General features: G+C 36.5%; 1 protein-coding gene across 15 annotated transcripts in view; it reads left to right on the top strand.

The window, feature by feature from the left end:
- RBMS3 (RNA binding motif single stranded interacting protein 3) overlaps nucleotides 1–23,269 on the top strand; it is a 729,325-nt gene that overhangs the window by 441,025 nt on the left and 265,031 nt on the right. For 14 of the 15 annotated variants that reach the window (XM_005265061.3, XM_017006180.2, XM_017006179.2 and 11 more), the window contains one exon: nucleotides 17,625–17,782. In XM_005265061.3, the coding sequence (XP_005265118.1) occupies nucleotides 17,625–17,782 (158 nt within the window). Of the gene's footprint in view, nucleotides 1–8,794; nucleotides 8,916–17,624; nucleotides 17,783–23,269 lie in introns of those variants that run through there. The other variant, XM_005265065.6, reaches the window with a different exon arrangement.

Below are 23,269 nucleotides of genomic sequence, written 5' to 3' on the forward strand. Positions count from 1 at the left end.
TCTTAAATTTCTTTTATAAGGTAAAGCACTTATGAGGAATACTTTTATATTTTTGGATTTTGGCTATCAAAATTAACAGCTTGTTTATTTTATTTTTTCAGTTTTTTCATGTTATTTTTTTGTAATTTTAAACTTGTAAAAATGTTGCAAAAATACCATAATACTTTTCACCCAAATTTTCCACGTACTAACATCTCTTACATTTGCTTTATCATTTTCTCTATTAATATATACATATTATTATTTTAAGATGTTTGAGACTAAATTTAGGACATGATGCCCTCGTATCCATAAAGAGTTTAGTTATATGTCCTAATAACAAGGTAATTCATTTACATTACAACAGTGGAATAATCAACATCAGGAAATTAACACTGGTACAATAGAAATGTCTAATCTATAGAACTGAGTTGAATTTTGCATTATTCCATAAATGTCCTTTATAATAAACAAAAAATTTTTTTAGGGGAGGGTTTGGGATCTAGGATTCAATCTAGGATCAAATGTTAGATTCGTAAGTCTCTCAGTGTCCTTTAATCTGCAATCATTCTTCTGTCTTTCTTCATCTTGACATTTTTGAAGATTATAGGCCAATTATTATGTAGAGCATCCCTACCTTAGATCTATGGGATGTTTTTCTATGATTAGGTTCGGGTTATGCCTTGCTGAAAGGAATGCCATATAGTGCTGTGATGTCCTTCTCAGTGTATCATATCGAGAGGCACAAGATACTCATTCATCCCATTCTGCTGATACTACTTTGATCACTTGTTTGCGGTGATATTTGCCAAATGTCTCCATGGAAAAGTTACAGTTTTCCATGGAGATTGATGTACATTTCCTAGTTCCTATCAGACTTTTACTCACTCTTTTTTTTTCTTTTCTTTTTTGTTTTTTGAGATGGAGTTTCACTCTTGTTGCCCAGGCTGGAGTGCAACGGCATGATCTTGGCTCACTGCAACCTCCGCCTCCCAGGTTCAAGTGATTCTCCTGCCTCATCCTCCTGAATGGCTGGGATTACAGGCGCACATCCCCACGCCTGGCTAATTTTTTGTATTTTTAGTAGAGATGGGGTTTCACCATGTTGGCTAGGCTGGTCTCAACTCCTGACCTCAGGTGATCCACCCACCTCATCCTCCCAAAGTGCTGGGATTACAGGCATGAGCCACCATGTCCAGCCTCACTCACTAGTTTTTACATACACTGATCGTTCTAGCCTAAATAAATTATTACCATTGGGGTGTCATGTGGTGATTTTGTTAACGTCAATATTCCTTCTACATTTATTAGCTTTTATTATACTTTAAGTACAGGTTTATCTTTTTCCTCTTTTGTCTAGTAATTCACTTATATAAGAAGGAACTCATAGATTGTAACTTTATCATATGTGTTAAAATCATTAATGACATTTTATATACAGATGCTCAGACAGTTTAAATAGAGCTAAGAAGGTGATCATTTATGCACTAGTTGCATTTTCCTCCTCTCCTCTCTTCTATAACATCTTAGCTAATATTGTTGTCCTATTCCATTATTAGGATAATCCAGCAGAATCTGTTGCTGTTTCGAAGGTTGGGTGCCAGTTCTGCCTTAGTGATTCATTGAGGTGGAGCTGAAAGAGCAGAAGTCACCCTCTCCTTGGAAGCCAGGAGCATTTTATTGTTTTTAACAGTGCTGAGAATGCCAGTGACTCTAAAGATGAGAAAAAAAACTCTCTTAATGAGTTTCAGCATTTTAATGTACTGCAGGTTCCCAATTGTATGAGTTTAAGAAGCTTAGCAATTCGGTATCTTCTGAATAATAGCATTTATTTTATACTGTAAATACTCCCAGGGAAGTCTGAATAACACTACAGCTTCTTCGGTGTAATAGCTTTGGTGAGCTAATTGACTTGAACAGTGGAATTGCTCCTTAAAAAAAAAAAGCCACACAGTTTTGATTAATGAGCCCAGTAATAAATCATTAATCTTTGTCGCTCACAAATGATAGGAACAGTGTTATGTTTCCCACCCTGTAATATATTTCTTGATTCTCTTGCTAATACAGTGGCCACATTTTAAGGATCTCATTATCAATTTAATATGCCTACCTCCATATAATTTAATATAACATCTAGTAAGTTTACACTTATGAGGAACACAATGGGACACATTCTAAATAGTGATAATTGTTCTGTAATTAACATGACTTATATTTACTTAGTAGCTGTCCTCTTAAAGTGTTCTAAATTTCCTTATGTAATAAAAATTGTAGAAATGATCATGATTTACTGAGCTTCTGTATTCCTGAAACTCTGCTAAATTTTTAGTATATCATAACATTGAATTTCTACAATAACCCTCTAAGGTTATTAGTATTATTATCTCCATTTTTCAGTCAAGGAAATTTGCTGAGAAGTGTTAATAACAGTTAGTGTCAGGGCCACCATGTCATTACATGTTCACAGCTCATGCCTACTCAAAGTTTTCTGGAAGCTTAAGAACAAAATCATTTTTATTAAAATGGAAGTATATAGTTATACAGTCAATCCAAATTGATGTTTGTCATTGTTTTAGGGCTTAATGTATCTCAGTGTCTTTTACATTTTAAAATTTAATTTTCATGCATATCATGTAGCTGAGACACCGTTTAAAAATAATTTAGATTGTCAAATCATCATTTTAAGGAAAATGGAATTTCAAGTTAAGGGCTATAAGAGTTAGGGGACAGATATCTAATTCTTCGTTGCCCTAATGTGTCAGCTAACAAAAAATAGCACTTTATTATTGAAATTTAGTTGTGTAACATCCACTAGTCTGAACTTTCTAAGGCAGGCAGAGATCATGTCCTATTACATCTTTGTCCTCAGAATTTAGCTCAAGGGGTGACATACACTAGAAGATGAAAAAACTATTGAATGAGTGAGTGAATGATCAAGAGCAAATATGAAAAAATAAGTGGATGATCCATTTAGTAATGTGCCCAAGTCAAGAGATGGAAATCGACAAGTGACTTTGAGTTGGATTAGTGTTGTGACCACGAGTACCTCCATTTGTTCAGGTGAGCTACTTACTGAATCACAAGACTCCTGTAGGGAGAAAACATATAACTAAGAAAAACTAAGATGTATGCATTACTTTTTCATTGATAGCCTAGGCACTCTAAGTAAAATTATTTAACTCATTGTCGAGTCACATTAAACGTAAGACTTATTTCTTTCTAACTTACGAGTTTTTTAAAAATTGCAAATAAAAATTCAAAAGCTAACAGAAGACAAGAAACAACTAAGATCACAGCAGAACTGAAGGAGATAGAGACATGAAAAATGTTTCAAAAATTCAGTGAATCCAGGAGCTGGTTTTTTGAAAAGATTAACAAAATAGAGAGACTGCTAGCTAGACTAGTAAAGAAGAAAAGAAAGAGAGAAGAATAAAATAGACACAATAAAAATAATAAAGGGGATATCACCACTGATCCCACAGAAATACAAACTACCACCAGAAAATACTATAAACACCTCTATGAAAAATCTAGAAGAAATGGATAAATTCCTGGCCACATACATCATCCCAAGACTAAACCAGGAAGAAGTCAAATACCTGAATAGACCAATAACAAGTTCTGAAATTGAGACAGTAATTAATACGCTACCAACCAAAAAAACCCCAGGACCAGATGGATTCAGAGCCGAATTCTACCAGATGTACAAAGAAGAGCTGGTGCCATTGTTTCAGAAACTATTCCAAACAATAGAAAAAGAGGGAATCCTCCCTAACTCACCCTATGAGGCCAGCATCATCCTGATAACAAAACCTGGCAGAGACACAACAAAAAAGAAAATTTCAGGCCAATACTCCTGATGAACATGGATGCGAAAATCCTCAATAAAATACTTGCAAACCGAATCTGGCAGCACATGAAAAAGCTTATCCACCACAATCAAGTTGGCTTCATCCCAGGGATGCAAGGCTGGTTCAACATATGCAAATCAATAAACATAATCCATCACATAAACAGAACTAATGACAAAAACCACATGATTATCCCAATAGATGCAGAAAACGCCTTCGATAAAATTCAACACCCCTTCATGCTAAAAACTCTCAATATACTAGGTACTGTTAGACCATATCTCAAAATAATAAGAGCTATTTATGACAAACCCGTAGCCAATATCATACCGAATGGGCAAAAGCTGGAAGCATTCCCTTTGAAAACTGGCAGAAGACAAGGATGCCCTCTCTCACCACTCCTATTCAGCATAGTATTGGAAGTTCTGGCCAGGGCAATCAGTCAAGAGAAAGAAATAAAGGGTATTCAAATGGAAAGAGAGGAAGTCAAATTGTCTCTGTTTGCAGATGACGTGATTTTATATTTAGAAAACACCATTGTCTCAGCGCAAAAACTCCTTATGCTGATAAGCAACTTGAGCAAAGTCCCAGGATGCAAAATCAATGTGCAAAAATCACAATCATTCTTATACACCAACAAGACAAGCAGAGATTCAAATCGTGAGGGAACTCCCATACACAATTGCATGGGAGAATAAAATACCTAGGAATACAACTTACAAGGGATGTGAAGGACCTCTTCAAGGAGAACTACAAACCAGTGCTCAGGGAAATAAGAGCAGACACAAACAAATGGAAAAACATTCCATGCTCATGGGTAGGAAGAATCAATATAATGAAAATGGTGAAAATGGCCATACTGCCCAAAGTAATTTATAGATTCAATGCTATTCCTGTTAAGCTACGATTGACTTTCTTTGCAAAATTAGAAAAAAAGTACTTTAAATTTCATATAGAACCAAAAAAGAGCTTGTATAGCCAAGACAATCCTAAGCAAAATGAATGAAGCTGGAGGCATCACAATACCCGACTTTAAACTACACTACAAGGCTACAGTAACCAAAACAACATGGTACTGGTACCAAAACAGATATATAGACCAGTGGAACAGAACAGAGGCCTCAGAAATAACACCACACATCTACAACCATCTGATCTTCAACAAACCTGACAAAAATAAGCAATGGGGAAAGGATTCCCTATTTAATAAATGGTGCTTGGAAAACTGGCTAGCCATATGCAGAAAACAGAATCTGGACCCCTTTCTTACACCTTATACAAAAATTAACTCATGATGGATTAAAAACTTAAATGTAAAACCCCAAGTCATAAAAACCCTAGAAGAAAACCTAGGCAATACCATTCAGGACATAGGCATGGGCAAAGACTTCATGACTAAAACACTAAAAGCAATTGCAACAAAGGCCAGAATTGACAGATTGGATCAAATCAAACTAAAGAGCTTCTGCACAGCAAAAGAAACTATCATCAGAGTGAACATGCAAACTACAGAATGGGAGAAAATTTTTGCAATCTACCTATCTGACAAAGGTCTAATATCCAGAATGTACAAGGAACTTAAATTTACAAGAAAAAAACAACCCTATCAAAAAGTAGGCAAAGGATATGAACAGACACTTCCCAAAAGAAGACATTTATGCAGCCAACAAATATTAAAAAAAGGTCATCATCACTGGTCATTAGAGAAATGCAAATCGAAACCGCAATGAGATACCATCTCATGCCAGTTAGAATGGCAGTTATTAAAAAGTCAGGAAACAACAGATGCTGACATGGCTGTGGAAAAATAGGAATGCTTTTACACTGTTGGTGGGAGTGTAAATTAGTTCAACCATTGTGGAAGACAGTGTGGCGATTCCTCAAGGATCTAGAACCAGAAATACCATTTGACCCAGCAATCGCATTACTGGGTATATACCCAAAGGATTATTAATCATGCTACTAAAAAGACACATGCACATGTATGTTTATTACAGCACTATTTACGATAGTAAAGACTTGGAACCAACCCCAATGTCCATCAATGATAGACTGGATAAAGAAAATCTGGCATATATACACCATGGAATACTATGCAGCCATAAAAAGAATGAGTTCATGTCCTTTGCGGGGACATGGATGAAGCTGGAAGCTATCATTCTCAGTAAACTCACACAAGAACAGAAAACCAAACACTGCATGTTCTCACTTATAAATGGGAGTTGAACCATGAGAAAACATGGACACGGGGAGCGGAACATCACACACTGGGGGCCTGTTGGGGCAGGGGGGTAAGGGGAGGGAGAGGATTGGGACAAATACCTAACTCATGCGAGGCTTAAAACCTAGATGACGGGTCGATAGGTGCAGCAAGCCACCATGGCTCATGTATACCTATGTAACAAACCTGCACGTTCTGCACATGTATCCCAGAACTTAAAATAACATCTAAAGAAAAATGTAAATAATGTATATGCCAAATGATGCCGGCAATCGTGATGAAAGACATTCTTTTAAAATAAAAAAATAGTTTAACCTTATTTGAACACCCTCAACTCACTGTTGCACCTCTTCTTTGCTGTTTCTCTACCAAAGTCACCAGGTTAATATAAGAAATGAAGGCAAGACAGTATCACCTAGTTAGGTTCCTTCTCCAGCTAACATGGCATTAATAAACTGATTTTCATTATGATATATACACACACAGCACACCACTTTTCTCCAAGCTAATATTAAGGATCACAGTTTACCAAAAGTTGTGCAGCCTGTTCTCTTTGGAAAGCCTCTCTTTGGAAAGACTAGGATGAAATAAATCTACTATATGCCATCCTTCACTTAGACTGACAGAATTTTAATGTATAGCAGAATTTTTTTTTAAGTGCCAATGTAGAGCTGACTGCTTCCTCTATAACACATAAAATGCATATGGCTTTACAGGGCCAGTTTTCTGTACAATTGACATTGGACAATTTAGGAATAAATGTAGATTCAAGCAAAACAGCACACAAGAGAACATTTTGTATCAAAGTTGTGGCTTTTCACTTTATGTGTTAAATATATATATATATTTTATTATACTTTAAGTTCTAGGGTACATGTGCACAACGTGCAGGTTTGTTACATACGTATACATGTGCCATGTTGGTTTGCTGCACCCATCAGCTTGTCATTTACATTAGGTATTTCTCCTAATGCTATCCCTCCCCTACCGCCCCACCCCCCAACCCCCTGACAGGCCCCAGTGTGTGATGTTGCCCGCCCTGTGTCCAAGTGATCTCATTGTTCAGTTCCCACCTATGAGTGAGAACATGCGGTGTTTGGTTTTCTGTTCCTGTGTTAGTTTGCTGAAAATGGTTTCCAGCTTCATCCATGTCCCTGAAAAGGACATGAACTCATCCTTTTTATGTCTGCATAGTATTCCATGGTGTATATGTGCCACATTTTCTTAATCCTGTCTATCATTGATGGACATTTGGGTTGATTCCAAGTCTTTGCTATTGTGAATAGTGCCGCAATAAACATACGCGTGCATGTGTCTTTATAGTAGCATGATTTATAATCTTTTGGGTATATACCCAGTAATAGGATTGCTGGATCAAATGCTATTTCTAGTTCTAGATGCTTGAGGAATCGCCACACTGTCTTCTACAATGGTTGAACTAATTTACACTCCCACCAACGGTGTAAAAGCGTTCCTATTTCTCCACATCCTCCCCAGCATCTGTTGTTTCCTGACTTTTTAATGATCACCATTCTAACTGGCATGAGATGGTATCTCATTGTGGTTTTGATTTGTATTTCTCTGATGACTAATAATGATGAGAATTTTTTAATTGGGAAAAACTACTTCAAAGTTCATATGGAACCAAAAAAGAGCCCTCATAGCCAAGACAATCCTAAGCAAAAAGAACAATTGAATTATAGAACAATAAGAAGAACAACAAAAAGAACAATAAGAATTATAACCTCAGCTTTCTCACATGTAAAATGGGGCTATCTACCTCAAGGGCTAAGGAATATAAACATAATGAATTTAAATGATTTTAAAGCATAGTATTTTTTCATATAGTAGGCAGTATAAATACTAGATAATATCATACCATAAAAAGGTAAAGGTAATGATATATATCTTACCTAACAACAAATAGTTTATATAAAATGATATTAATGTTAATCTTATATGGCAATGGATAATTTTAGTACAAGTATGTCTTATGTATTATTCATGATATACTAAAAATAGTATTTGTTGTTTATCAAAAATTTAAATTTAACAAGATGTCTTATATTTTATTGGGCAGCCTTAATATATATGACACAGTGTTTGTCAAGTGAGCTCTGTTGCATAATTCCAGGAGTCATCATTTGTGCTGTGTTCTGGGCGGGGGGCGGGGATGTCAGTAGACTACAATGAGAATGGTTGTCTTTGAGTGGAACTCAATGCCCCTAATATCTTTTACATTTCAATGGTATGTTTTTGTATGTTTACCAAAGGTGAATCTAGGTGAGCCTCAGCAAGCCTAAGCTGTCATATTCTAGGCAGAAGATATAAAAATGTTTTGCATCTGTTCTATATTTGTATGTGTTATGGTGATTATTTCAGAAGTAATTAGTAGTGTATCATAGTAAACCTATGGCTGTCTTCATGTCATTTCCACAGTTCCATAGTTGTTTGGGGCATCATAGTCTTTATCGATAAATCAGTTACAGCTTTCTATCTCAGAGTTCATAGCAGGTGGATAAAATAGACATTCCTGGGGAACCTCTTTCTGAGCAGTGAATTAAACTCTGAGATTTGTTTACAATATTGAGTAGTTCTCTATAGTTTTGTTTCCTGTTCTCATTTTTGACCATCAGGACCACGAGTACAAAACAATATATATTTGTGATATGGTAATATATTAAAATAAAACTATAGAGAGATCTCAATATTGTAAAATGTTAATTTAGCATTTTCTCACAGGAGAAACCATCACATCAGGGCTGATAACTGGTGATACTGAGCTCAAGTTCATGAGGTGTATATGGAGGGAGAAATCAAGGAAAGCCAGAGATCCAATCTGGCCACCTGTTCCAGGACCAAAGGTAACTTAAATTTAGTCATAAAGGCTGGAGATCCTCATGGAATCATTCACTGCCTAACTCAATTGAAGGCTCCTCAATTGATCTTGAAATAAAAGCCAGCCCAAGCCTTAAAGAATAGCCTAAATGATCAGTGGTTCAACACTGGGCATTGTTTCACAATCAGGTCCCTGCTGAGTTTGTTCTCCAGAATTAAACCTTCCAATTGAACTTGAGGACATGAACTCCAGTTGCTGACACTGTGCTTACATTATATCCGAAATAAGTAAATGCTTCTTTTTAAAAAAGTATTTCTTGGGGACATTGTTCTTAGTGTTTCTTATCTTAGGGAAATTGTTCTTATTTTTGTTTTGGAAGGAAAAAATTGGCAGTCACCTTCCTCTAACTGAATCACCATGCAGAACTAACAAAAGAGAAATCACCTTTTCTCTTTTAGTAGAGACAGAAGACAATTGAAAATATAGAGGCACCTTCACTGCTTAGCAAACAGGACAGAGGGCATGTTTTTAGGTACCATTTAAGGGTGAAAGCCTACTTCTTTGCAGTCCTTCTTTACTCTTCCCTTTGGTCTTTAATGCCTTACCTTGGATGTTTGCTTCTGGAGCGCCTGTCTTGAGGTAAGGCATCTTACTTTGCCTAGTCAGAGGCACTGGCTTTGTGTCCAGGGAATGCAGAAGTCCTAGTGGGAAGTTCAGAGCTGATCGTATGTCCTCATTTCTTCATAGCAATATAGATTTGACAAAACTAACACATTGTATTAGTCAGGGTTCTTCAGAGAAACAGAACCAATAGGATGTCTCTACCTCACTCCCTCTCGTGCACTCTGTCACTCTGTCTCCCTCTCTCCCCACTGCAAGTCTCTCTCTGTCCTTCTGTCCATCTCCCTCTCTTCCTCTATCCCTCCATCTTTCCCTCTGTCTCCCATTTCCCTCTCTCCCCATCTCCCCCTCTGTACCTCCGTCCCTTTACCTTAATCTCTCACTCCCTCTCTTTTTCTCTCCCTCTCTCCCTCCATCTGTCCCTCTCCTCCTCCCTCTCTGCCTTCCTTCCTCTCTCCTCCACATCACTCTATCTTACCCCTCCCCTCTTTATTGTATGAACTTGACTCATGAGATTATGGAGGCAACAAGTCCTAAGATCTTCTGTTGGCAGCTGGAGTCCTAGGAGAGCCCACATGGTTGTTCCAGTCTACAGGCTGTCAGGTTCAAGACTCAAGAAGGGCTGATATTTCAGTCACGGTCTGAAGACAGGAAAATGTAATTCCAGCTCAAAGGCAGTCAGACGGGAGGAAGTCTTTCTTAACTCTGGGGAGGATCAGCCTTTTTGTTTTATTCAAGTCTTCATCTGATTGGGTGAGGGCCACCCACATTGAGGAGAGCAATCTGTTTCACACAGTGTATCAATTTAAACGTTAAACTCATTCAAAAATAGCCCCATAGAAACACCCAGAAAATGGTTTGACCAATCTGGGCACACTGTGTCTCAGTCAAGTTGACACATAAAATTAACTATCACACAAATATATAATACTGAAGCAAGTATGGCTGAAACAGCAGGCTTCCATCAGTTCTCATCTAGAGGTGCAGTAACTATCACCAGAAAAGTGAGGACATCTTTGTTCGAATTAGTGTTAAACTAATTCCAAAATATCTGATGCCTTTAGGGCAGTTTGTTAACATGGAATGCTCTGATTCCCTGTTTTCAAAGTGAGAAAAAACATTTAGTTTTTATTATTATTAATTTTTAAATTGCTGCAGCATATAAAATAGACTGTTCCATTAAAAAAATCTTGCTCCCTTGCATCCACATTAATTTTCTTTTCTACAGGTGAGAGTCACTGAATAACGATATTTATAGGCAATCTCTAGAATTGGTGTAGTGTAGTAAAAAGTACTACATCAAGTCAAACAATATCCCTTATGATATTGCTTATTCACTTACTAACTTAAAATATAGGACCCAGTTTTCTCATTTGTATTTTTTGGAATAATAACTCTTTCCCTATCTACCTTATGAGATAGATAAAGGGCCACATGATATAAAATGACTCTGAAACATTTAAAATATTAAAAACTCTGCTCCATGTAAGGTAATATTATTATCTTTAGTCTATATATACATCTTTCTCAATGTTTTTAAAAAATATCTATAGTTGCATGCTTGCTTTAGAGTTGTTTCATACCTCTTCAGGGTATTTCTAAATGTTTTGTCACCACTGCTCAAGATAATTCATCTTGAGATAGCATTTTTTCACCCAGTAGTTAAAAAATTTCTATAAATTCGTTATACACAATTTTGTGACTTAAAAGCTCTTGGAATAATCATGGAGGTGCACGTATCTTTTTCATATAGTTATTTCCTTTTTTTTTTGGATACTTAGTAATGGGATTGCTGGGTCACATGTTAGTATTTTTAGTTTTCTGAGGACCCTCATACTGTTTTCCATAATGGCTATACTAATTTACATTCTGACTAAAAGTGTATACGAGTTCCCTTTTTTCAACGTCCTCACCAGCATTGGTTATTTTTTATTTTTTCTGATAATAGGCATTCTAATAGGGGTGAGATGATATATCATTGTGGTTTTGATTTGCATTTCCCTGATGATTAGTGATGTTGAGTATATTTCTCATATATCTGTTGGCCATTATGAATAGTTGGCAGATGAATAGTATGCAAATATTTTTGCCCATTCTGCAGGTTGTCTCCTTACTCGGTTGATTGTTTCCTTTTAGTTGGATACAGTCCCATTAGCCCGTTTTTGCTTTTGTTGCCTGTGCTTTTGAAGTCTTATCCACAAAAAATCTTTGTCCAGACCAATATCCTAAACCCTTTCCCTTATGTAGTCTTCTAGTAGTTTACAGTTTGGGGGTCTTACATTTAAGTCTTTAAGCCGTTTTGAGATTTTGAGTTGATTTTTGTATATGGTGAATTATAGGGGTCTAGTTTCATTATTCTGTATGTGGATATCCAGTTTTTATAGCACCATTTAAAAATTTAGTATGTGTACACACACACCCACACACACACACACAGTGGAATACTATTTAGTCATAAAAGAGAATAAAATTCTGTCATGCATGACAACATAGATGAGCCTGGAGGATATTATGTTAAGTGAAACAAGTCAGGCACACAGGAAGATAAATACCACATGTTCTCACTCATATGCAGGAGCTAAAAAACTTGAACTCATAGAAGCAGAGAGTAGAACTATGGTTACTAGAGGCTAGGAAGAGTAGCAGGAAGTGGGGATATGGGGCTCTTTTGATAACCAGGTACAAAATTACAGCTAGTGAGGATAAATAAGTTCTAGAGTTTTATGGCACTGTAGGATGACTATAATTAACAATAATTTATTGCATATTTTTAAATACCTAGAAGAAAGGAGCTTGAATGTTCCCAACACAAAGAAATAATAAATGTTTGAGGTTATGAATATGCTAATGACCCTGATTCAATCATTACACTTGTATTCATATATCAAAATATCACTTTGCACCACATACATTTGTACAATTATTACTGGCCAATTAAAAATGTTTTTTAAAAAGGGTTCGATAGTATATAAAGTAAGCAAGAACTAATCACTCACTGAGACCCATAGGGTGTTCCATTATGAAAAGAAATAGTAGGAATATATTCCCATAAAGCAGTTCTACTCAAAGTTTGTTACTTGATACCTATCCACAATGAAATATGTACAGAAATTGAGAGAACGCATTTAAAATCTTTTATAACAATTAACATTAACATAATATCAAATGCAATATGTAATTTGGTGTCCGTTGAGTGTAATGATGAAAAGTTGGACTTGCATTTTGCATATCCTTTTATTTTATTTTCTATTAATTTATTTTTCTTATATTCTACAAATATATTGATCCATGGCATATTGGAAATAAAAACAGTTCACACTCCAGGTAGCTTAAGAAATTACTCTAAAATCTCAACTTCATGCTAGTACTGTAGCTACTTCCAGAGCATTTAAATGTCATTCCATCAAATGTGAATGTTAGCAGATTGTTGTTAAGTTTTAAAATTGTGTTCTACTAATAGCCTTTTTCAGAATTATGTTTCTATAATAGCCATAATGCATATTCAAAAACCCAGACGTAACCTTTGATCTAGATAGGGCAGTGTTTTCTTGTCCTCTACAAGTATTCATTTGCTTAGCCACCTTGAAAGGTTCTGAAGTTCTGAAATTGTCTTAAACTGCTCAAAAGCAAATGAATGACAATAAATCTGATTTTGACAGCATACATACACTAAAAACCTGAGAAAAAGGAAGTCATTTCAGAGAAAGTAAATTATTTACATATTTTTGCGTAAGATGACAGATCTGGGCTCCCATTAACAATGGAGAGGATACTTTTCTAACTTTTAATGAGCTTTTGACAAAACTAAATAATAAACCAAGAAATCCTTGTACAAATGAAAAAATGTAGAAACAGACCAAAATGGGGGAGTTACTTATAGTGACATGGACAGTTATATGTAATAGATGTATGAATTGTAGTCATATACTTTTACAATCTAATATACACTGCAAAATATTCATTCAATGACTGTGTGTAGAATACTAGCTAAGGCTAGGAACTCTTTTTTCATAGCCTTCACTCTTTGACTCAAGCTTATTGACGAATAGGCAAAAGTGAATAAAACAAGGAACTCAGATATATTTATTTTTGTCTCTATAATATTCTTTTGAACCACAACCTATTTATTAATCATTGGATTTTAAGAATAAAGTCAGTGTTGTAAATTGGCAATAACATCAGATTATCATCTATTTCTAGCCTGTTCCTCTAGCTGAGTGGCCTTGGGCAAGTCATAATCTCACCACTAGCTTCTGCTTTTTTCCATCTGTTAGATAACAAGATTGGATAAGATGCCACCTTAGGTCCATTCAGGAGATTTGGCCATAAAAATTTAAGTTAAAAAATTATAAAAAGATCTTTTTGATTGCAGTTATCTTGTGAAAAACTTTTCCGGAAAATTAAAAGGAAAGAGTTCTTTGTTTCATAGTGCCAATGAACCTTTTGAAAATGACCATCCATTTACATAAACCTGATATATAAATAAAATTGAAAGTAAAAATATAAATGTATGTACTATTTTAAAGTTTATTTTATGCATAATTTAAATTCTATTTTCAACCAATATATTCAAGACTAATACTGCATTCATTTCAAAGAACAGAATTACTTAAATAACACTCCCCAATGTCATATTCTTTCTGTGAATACAAATTAAAGAACGACACTATCCAATGTGCTACTGTCTCTGTGAATACAAATTAAAGAGTTGGCCTTGTTGTTTGAATTTGGATTCAGAAAATAGCTTACCAGGCAATCCCTTATGTACTAAGCTCTGCGTATTTATGGTACACCATTTTGAGCAGCTGCAATGCATTCAATACTCAGGGAATTTGGAAATGATTTTGAATTTGGATAAACTGGTGCACTGATGCCTGGAGAAAATTCTAAGGTCTGTACAGTACCCTGAGACAATGGCGTAGACTGTAATTATTAACCTGATCAAGGGCAAAGGGGTATTGAATATTGAGCAAATTCCAACCCATTCATAGGACTGTCATGTGCTGTGGCCCACTCATTGGTAGGCTCTGGGTTGATGAGGAACTCCAAAGCTCTGGGGCACGTATTTCTTGTATAACTTGAGTAGTTCTAGACATGTGGGACTCAGAAATCACATCATAAGAAAGTTGTTCATTTCTCAATTCTTCTTTAATTCTGATTCTTCCCAGTAAAAAGACTCAGTCTGGTGCTAGTGTGCTTCTAACACTTCCATTAATTATGAATTCCCTTTGCAACAGAGAGTGAAGCGGGAGCACCAAAGCCTTCTGCAAACAGTATCTAGCTATAATTTGAAAACATGAGTTTGTTCACTGTTTTTACAGTAACCTTCTATTTATGGCAAGTAATACTGGCCTTTTAGTTATGGTAACAACACAAAGTGTTTTTTTTTTGAGACGGACTCTCGCTGTCGCCCAGGCTGGAGTGCAGTGGCATGATCTCAGCTCACTGCAAGCTCCGCCTCCCGGGTTCACGCCATTCTCCTGCCTCAGCCTCCCGAGTAGCTGGGACTACAGGCGCCCGCCACCAGGCTGTCTAACTTTTTGTATTTTTAGTAGAGATGGGGTTTCACCATGTTAGCCAGGGTGGTCTCGACCTCCTGACCTCGTGATCCACCCGCCTCGGCCTCCCAAAGTGCTGGGATTACAGGCATGAGCCACTGCGCCCGGCCTACAAAGTTATTTTTTAAAATAGATTTATTTAAGCCCCAGAGGTATGTTTATTTAGAAAAATTTTAAAATAAGTAACAACCTATGACTGTCAAAAATTTCTAACATTTGGTGTTTCAAATAATTGAAGCTTGAGAAACATTGGACTTGTGGAAAATACACTGAGCTGGAAGATAGGAAAATTAGTCACTAAATCTAATTTTAGCCCTGTCACTAATTATTAGATTGTCCTTGGGCAAGATTGAATCTTTCATGTCTCCATTTCCTCATTATCCAGTAAGTGTAGTAATATTTGCCAAACTACTTTTGGAGCGACAATGTGAAGATTAAAATTAAATGATGAATGGTGAAATACTATGAACCTTGGAAGTTATACGTAGATAAGGTTCATTATTATGTAACTGAAATGTCCCCTTTTTTTTTATTTACCACTTCACAAAAACAAAAACAAAAACAAGATCAAAACCATTTAAAGAATAATAATATTATCTCTGTTTTTTCTCTAGGACCATTAACAGTTACTGGTGGTGATATTGATGATGGTGGTGGTGATAGTGGAGTGTGTGTGTGTGTGTGTGTGTGTGTGTGTGTGTGTGTTTATATGTATGTCTGTGACAGAGAAAGAGAGGGAGATTAACTTCACTCATTCAGTTTCTATATGTAAACTATTCCTAAATATTAAGGCTCTAGTCATCTTTTCCAGATTGATTATATTTTATTTTTGCTATTTCCCACGGTGCTAAAAAGCTTGAAAAGTAAACTGTGTTTAAAATGAAACTAATAATACATCATATTCACTCCAAGTTTTAATAAAAATATCACAATCTATCTGAATATTTAGTTGTTAAAAATACAGAAATTTAGTTGCATACAAAAATTATTTCTTGACCTGAAACAACATTTGGATTCTTGTTTATTCTACTTGTTTATTGTTTTTAAAACCGTAAATATCTAATAATATGATATCTTTTCACAAAAGATATTTTACTGTTACATAATACCATTTTCTATAGACTTCAGGATTTCTTTTTCTAATTTAATGTCTGGCTTATCCTTGAAGCTAAGGTTTTTGTTTAGTTAAAATATAATAGTTCAATTAAATATCTGGTACATTTTGATATTAATGACTAATCTGTCAAGTTTTTGACTGTTTTATTTGAGACATAAATACAACTAAGTTCTAAATTATTAATTCATTATATAAAATAGAGAAAATTGATACACACAGAAATAATGCTAGTAATTGTGGTTTGGTTTCCCATTCTATTAAGCAAAACTTATTTAAGCATTATTGGTGCTGAATTAGGAGATGATAGACATCATAATCTTATTTGTATATAAATATTTAGGCTTGGTCTAGGATGGCAATTCTCAAACTTAAGCTGTCATCAGGATCACCTGGAGGGCTTGTCAAAACACAGATTTCTTGGCCCACTCTCAGATTCTGCTTCAGTAGTTCTGTGGTGAGGCCTGAGAAATTGTGTTTCCAATAAGTTCCCAGGTGAGGCTAAGGCTAATGTTGCATTTCTGGGACTATACTTTGAGACTCGTTGGTCTAGTGGAAGGCAGTAGACCAGAGCAATAAATCCCATGGACTTTGGTGATAGGCCCAGATTTCAGCCCTGACTTTGGCACTTATGAGCTGTGTAACTTGGATAAGTTAGGGATCAATTTTGTCATCCATAAAATGGTAATTATATCTATTAAGAATATTGAATGAAATAATGCATGTTAAGTGTTTGGAACAATGCTTAGCATATTATGAACTCTCATTAAATGCAATATCAGTAACTAATTGTGATGGTAGTAAGAGTGGTAGTCATAGAAGTAGTGGTTAATGGTAATAAAAAAGAATATACACATTTGCCTTAGTTCAATTGCATTAAAAGTTTATTGGTCGGCCGGACGTGATGGCTCACACCTGTAATCCCAGCACTTTGGGAGGCCGAGGTGGGCGGATCACTAAGTCAGGAGGAGATGGAGACCATCCTGGCTAACACGGTGAAACCCCGTCTCTACTAAAAATACAAAAAATTAGCTGGGCGTGGTGGCGGGCGCCTGTAGTCCCAGCTACTCGGGAGGCTGAAGCAGGAGAATGGCGTGAACCCGGGAAGCAGAGCTTGCAGTGAGTCGAGATCGCGCCACTGCACTCCAGCCTGGGCTACAGAGCGAGACTCCGTCTCAAGAAAAAAAAAAAAAAAAAAGAAAAGTTTATTAGTCTTTCTAAGGAATGATGGATGGAGAGCTTGGCTTTCATTGATCATTTTGTCTATGATAAACATTCTGCACAAGACATCAGTAAAAAGAAGTAATGCCCCTAGTGAAAGCACTTTCAAGAGCATTTTGGAGATTATTATCTAGATTGCAGTTTAAACAAAAGTTTCTCTATTTGTACAATGTTTCTCAATACTCAGAACTTACCATATTTGTTACTTTCCTTCCCTTAGCAACAAGAGCAAGACCCAACAAACCTATACATCTCAAATCTCCCCATTTCTATGGATGAGCAGGAGCTTGAGAATATGCTGAAACCCTTTGGACATGTCATTTCCACAAGAATACTAAGAGACGCTAATGGAGTCAGCAGAGGTGTTGGCTTTGCCAGGTAAAATTCTTTCTTTGTATGTAATCGTTCTTTCCTCATTGTTCCTTTTAAATTCCATTCCTTTTTTAGTACTAGAGCCCAAAGCAATAGAATATGCAAAAAAAAAAAAAAAATTAAAAGTAGCTTATCAAATCTGTCATCCCTCTGTGTCTTTGCTTGGAGCTAAATAATTTCAATGTAATTATAAATAAACTGTGCTTGTTCAAATGTACGTAGAATGTGTTTATGTGTCTTGAGTCATAATAACATACATACTCAGTTCCCAGTCCTCTCTGTGCCTGTGGATCAACAAAATCAGATGCTGCCAATACCTGACAGAGACAATAAATGCCCAGTACCCCAAAGCAAAAGAGCCCATGTGGTGAACAAAGCATCTAAGTGTTTTTGCATTGATTTCCAAAAAAGGGTGCTAGCATTTCTCAGTAAAGAGAAAATAAAAGAAAGGAAACATTTAGAGAAACAGGAATTACTGAGAAGACCCAGCAAACTCAGAAATACAAGGGAGGTCAAGAAGCCATTTGCATTTAAGAGGCCCTGGCTATGTTTTTGATATTTTAGGCAGAACAGGGGAAAAAAAAATATTCCTTTCATTGTAAGAAAAGGAAGAGTAATTTTCATTTTAACTTTGAAGGAATGTTTACAAAAGAGGATTTCAGCCAGGAATGGAGTTTAAATAGTTGTACCTGCTGTGCTTTCATGAAAAACAAAGCTAAAGAGACCACAGAGTAAAAGAAACTGCTCAATGACAATGAAGAAAAATAAGTCTTGTCTCTATGGCTTGGTACATTTATGTGTGTCTCCAGCTGATTTATCATGGATGAATGGATGGATGTTAAGTGTTATGTGGAAGTCAGCCCATTGCAGACAAGTTTGTTCATCTAGGGCCAGGCAGGGTGGCTGACGCCTGTAATCTCAGCACTTTGGGAGGCTGAGAAGGGCAGATCACAAGGTCAGGAGTTCGAGACCAGCCTGGCCAACATAGTGAAAACCCATCTCTACTGAAAATACAAAAATTAGCCGTTGCGTGGTGGCACATGGCTGTAGTCCCAGCTACTCGGGAGGCTGAGGCAGGAGAATCACTTGAACCTGGGAGGCAGAGGTTGTGGCAAGCCGAGATCGCGCCACTATACTCCAGCCTGGGCAACACAGCGAGACTCCATCTCAAAAAAAAAAAAAAAAGAAAAACCATTCCAAACTAACTTCCGTTAACTCACTTTAGAAGATAACAAATCGTCATGTATATGTTAACTAATCTCTAACTTTATTTCCTTGGAGTTGTGGTTGTGGACCATGTGTGAAAATTCTTCTTATTCTCCATAATGTATACATAGTAAACCAGGAGACAAATGCAAGGTACATGCTTGATGATTTGAATAGAAATAAACAGAATGAAGAAAATCTCCCTGACTTGAATGTGTGCATGAGGTATTCAGGCTTTCAGGACATTGACAACTGTTGATTTTCATGGCCAAGGCAGAGCTTATGACACTACTTGGATCTCTGAATTTAGCCAATGCAGTCATTCTTATATAGTGTGCAACTAGCTATTGGAGGCCTGAGCGATGTGGGAGTTCACTGAACCAACTGTCATGTTTTACTTTACATACCATACACATTCCTTTGGTTCTTCCCCCATCCCTTGCCCTCCAAAAACTCTCCAATAAATTAGTTTCTCCTTCATTTGGACTCTTGCTGGGAAATAAATGCATTTCAAATTCATTAAGAGCACATATTTCCAAGAAGACCTACAGTGATATTTTTTTCTTTAAACAAAGGATGTGTTCGTACAAAGTATATTAGTTTCCTAGGTCTGTCATAACAAAATGTCACGGAACAGTGGCTCATACAACATGAATTTATTTTCTCACAATTTTGGAGGCTAGAAGTCAGAGGTCAAGATGTCTTTATAGCTGGCTTCTTGTGACACCTTTCTTCTTGGCTTGTAAATGGCTGTGTTCCCCTTCTGTCCTCACATGGTCTTCCTTCTGTGCATGCCTGTGTCTTAATCTCTTAAGAGCACCAAGTCATATTGCAATAGGGCCCACCCTAATGGCCTCATTTTAACTTAATTACCCCTTTAAAGGGGTAATTACAAATACAGTCACATTCTGAGGTATTGGGGGTTAGGACTTCAACATATGAGTTTTGTCGGGTACACAATTCAGTTCATAACACAAAGATTGAACTATTCATTTCTCTCCCATTTATCTTTTCTATACAATGAGAGTTTGCTTAAAATGAGGCATATTTTTCTTAAGTACAGAGTCAAGTAATATATATTCTAAAAGGCAGAACTATAATGCTGGTATATGAGATCATGAAAGAATAAAACTTACAAAGTTATTTTTCTTTAGGAACTGAGGGAGGGTGGGAATTTTACATTTTAGCTCTATTCTGAATGCAGCCTCTCTCTCTCCTCTGTTGCATTTTGCATATAGAAGCCACAGTGAGCCCTTCAATATTCAAATCTCATCATGTCAGGGTCCTGCTTACAATCCTTCAACATTTCACTTGCCAACCTCTCCAGCATCATTCTTGATATTGCTCGCCTTCCTGGCTTTGACTCTGTCTCATGTTCAGGCACAAGCTGCCCTTCTTGCCTGGTTATACTTTCCATGGCTCTTCTCCTGACTTCTGCCTGCTCATCTCTCAGGCAATGGCTTAAACATCTTTTCTTCAAAGAATTTTTCGCTGACCTCCAATCTTTGGCTTTGGACAAAGTTAGGTGCTCTTGTTATAGCTCCTATAAAAGTTTTGTTTTTTCTTTCAAATAAAATATATCACGATTACAATGAATTCATTGTTTAATTTCTGTCTTCACCAAATGGATTGTACATTTCCTTGGGTCAAGTTTTCTTTTTCTTTGTTGGATGGATGACTAGATATGTGGCTAGTGGATTTCATAATTACCGTTCTGTGAAGTTTCAGAATAGCTAAATTCATTGGTCTTTTACAACTTTGAGCTTCAAATATGAATTAGCAGTCACATTCCAATTCTGAAATTTAGGTATCTGTATTTCAGAAAGTGCCATGTGGACTGAAAAGGCAAACATAGGTTCAAGTCAAGCCACTGATTTCTTATGCCTAAGAAATAAAAATGAAGTGTGAGTCTGACTATCTTTTGAAAGAAGCCAGGAAACCAACACAGAAAAAGTATTTCGTTCTCCATGTATCTTAGATTTTAAATTTTGAGGAGCAGAATCCCATATAATTAGCCTAATTTGATGGGGTGAGAATATATTTTTAGCTGTACCATAAATAGATCTGCCCAAATTCCTACTTCCCTATAACATTGGCTGTGCATTTTCTCAAGCAATTATGGCTTTTGCCTTAACTAATTTGATCATTCACAACTTAATTCTTGCACAAATGTTTCTCCTTTTAAAAATATTATCCTGTCCCTTTTCCACTCTGCTTTTCTCATCTGAAATTTTCCCTCTGAACCACAAAACAGAGATGATTTCAGTCACCATTTTCTTGATTCTTCCAAGAATAGCACATAGCAAGTGAGAGAAATTATTGTATTACATGAGGATGTCTTGGGACAGTGGTTCTCAAAGTGTGGTTCCCAGATCAGCAGCTTCAGTGCTTCCTAAAAACTTGTTAGAAATGCAAATTTCCTGCCCCCAATCTACCGAATTAACAGTCTGGTGGTGAGGGTGTTCAGCAGTCTGTAATCTGTGTACTAACAAGCACTTTAGATGACTCTAAAAGCACTCTAAAGCTTTGCCTTAGGTCATTAGTACTTGTTCTTAGGACCACCTGAATGATCTGTTAAAACTCTGATTGCTGGGCCCACTCTTAAAGTTTCTGATCCAGTTGGCTTGGGGTGAGACTCAATTATTTGCATTTCTTTTTTTTTTTTTTAAATTTTATTATTATTATACTTTGAATTTTAGGGTACATGTGCACAATGTGCAGGTTTGTTAGATATGTATACATGTGCCATGTTGGTATGCTGCACCCATTAACTCGTCATTTAGCATTAGGTATATCTCCTAATGCTATCCCTCCCCCCTCCCCCCACCCCACAACAGTCCCCAGAGTGTGATGTTCCCCTTCCTGTGTCCATGTGTTCTCATTGTTCAATTCCCACCAATGAGTGAGAACATGCGGTGTTTGGTTTTTTGTCCTTGCAATTATTTGCATTTCTAACAAGTTTCCAGGTGATACTGACACTGCTGATATGGGAACCACCCTTTGAGAACTATTGCTTTAAAGTTGTCTGTGATTTTTCCAGGTGGAGTTGATTCCTGTTGATGCCTGATTTACATTGTTTTACTTTCTCAAAATTACTAATAAGGAACTATCCCCCTTCCTGTTCCTCAAGGGTAGAGGCCATGCCTTCTTCTTTATATCTGTCCAGTACTTAGAATATTGACACATAATTGATCTTGAGCAAATTTCTTATGATAAATAAATGAAATCACTTTAAGGTTTTGGGTTTTTTTAAATATAGCAATATGCAGAAAGACATTTGATGATAATGATAAACCAATTGTGAGATAGAGTACTGGAATATTAGAAAAATCTGTGGTAGCACCAACCCAACTGGTATTAGCTCACAAATTGTTTCTTCCTCTAGGAGTTTACAGTTCCACAGGCATTATTAAAAGAATATGCCGGCTGGGCGCGGTGGCTCACACCTGTAATCCCAGCACTTTGGGAGGCCAAGGCAGGCAGATCATGAGGTCAGGAGTTCGAGGCCAGCCTGGCCAACATAGCGAAACCTCATCGCTACTAAAAATACAAAAAAATTAGCCAGGCGTGGTGGCACGTGCCTGTAATCCGAGCTACTCGGGAGGCTGAGGCATGAGAATCGCTTGAACCTGGGAGGTAGAGGTTGCAGTGAGCTGAGATCACACCATTGCACTCCAGCCCGCACGATAGTGTAAGACTCCGTCTCGGAAAAAAAAAAAAAAAAGTGCTTATTTAATTGGGAGAATACCTAGCCAATAATTGTGTCTAGTAAATTGTTGTACATATCTCTTGAATGTATGACTGTTTCAATTCAGAAAACCTGAATAATTTTTTCAGTGGACTTCATTTTGAATGTTACTATTGGTGACTTCTAACCATCATATGTGGTCCTTAATTCATGTACAAGGGATTCCAAAATTCCTTTGACTGGAAAGAACCCCCCCGCCTCAATTATTATTTTACTTGCGACTATACATTAATCTTCTTTGATAACCATCTCTTCAAAGTAAAAGGAGTATCTTCATTTTATATTTAAAACGCTGAATTTCAAAGCATTGATTTGAATGCCAGTGGGGCGCACAGACAGCAAAATTACAGGCTTTTCAAAGTTCCAGAAGCACAAGATAGTGTCTGAAATTACAGACATTTTATTTTATTTTGTGTGTGTGTGTTTTTTTTTACTCTCTTGTAACTTAAAACAATTTTGTAAGATCCACCCCCCTCCAGGCAGCATTTTATAGCCAATTTATAAACCTCTAAAAACCGAAGTTTATGGTGGGAATGCTG

This window comes from Homo sapiens, chromosome 3, assembly GCF_000001405.40.
Source record: "Homo sapiens chromosome 3, GRCh38.p14 Primary Assembly".
NCBI classification, from domain to species: Eukaryota; Metazoa; Chordata; class Mammalia; order Primates; family Hominidae; genus Homo; species Homo sapiens.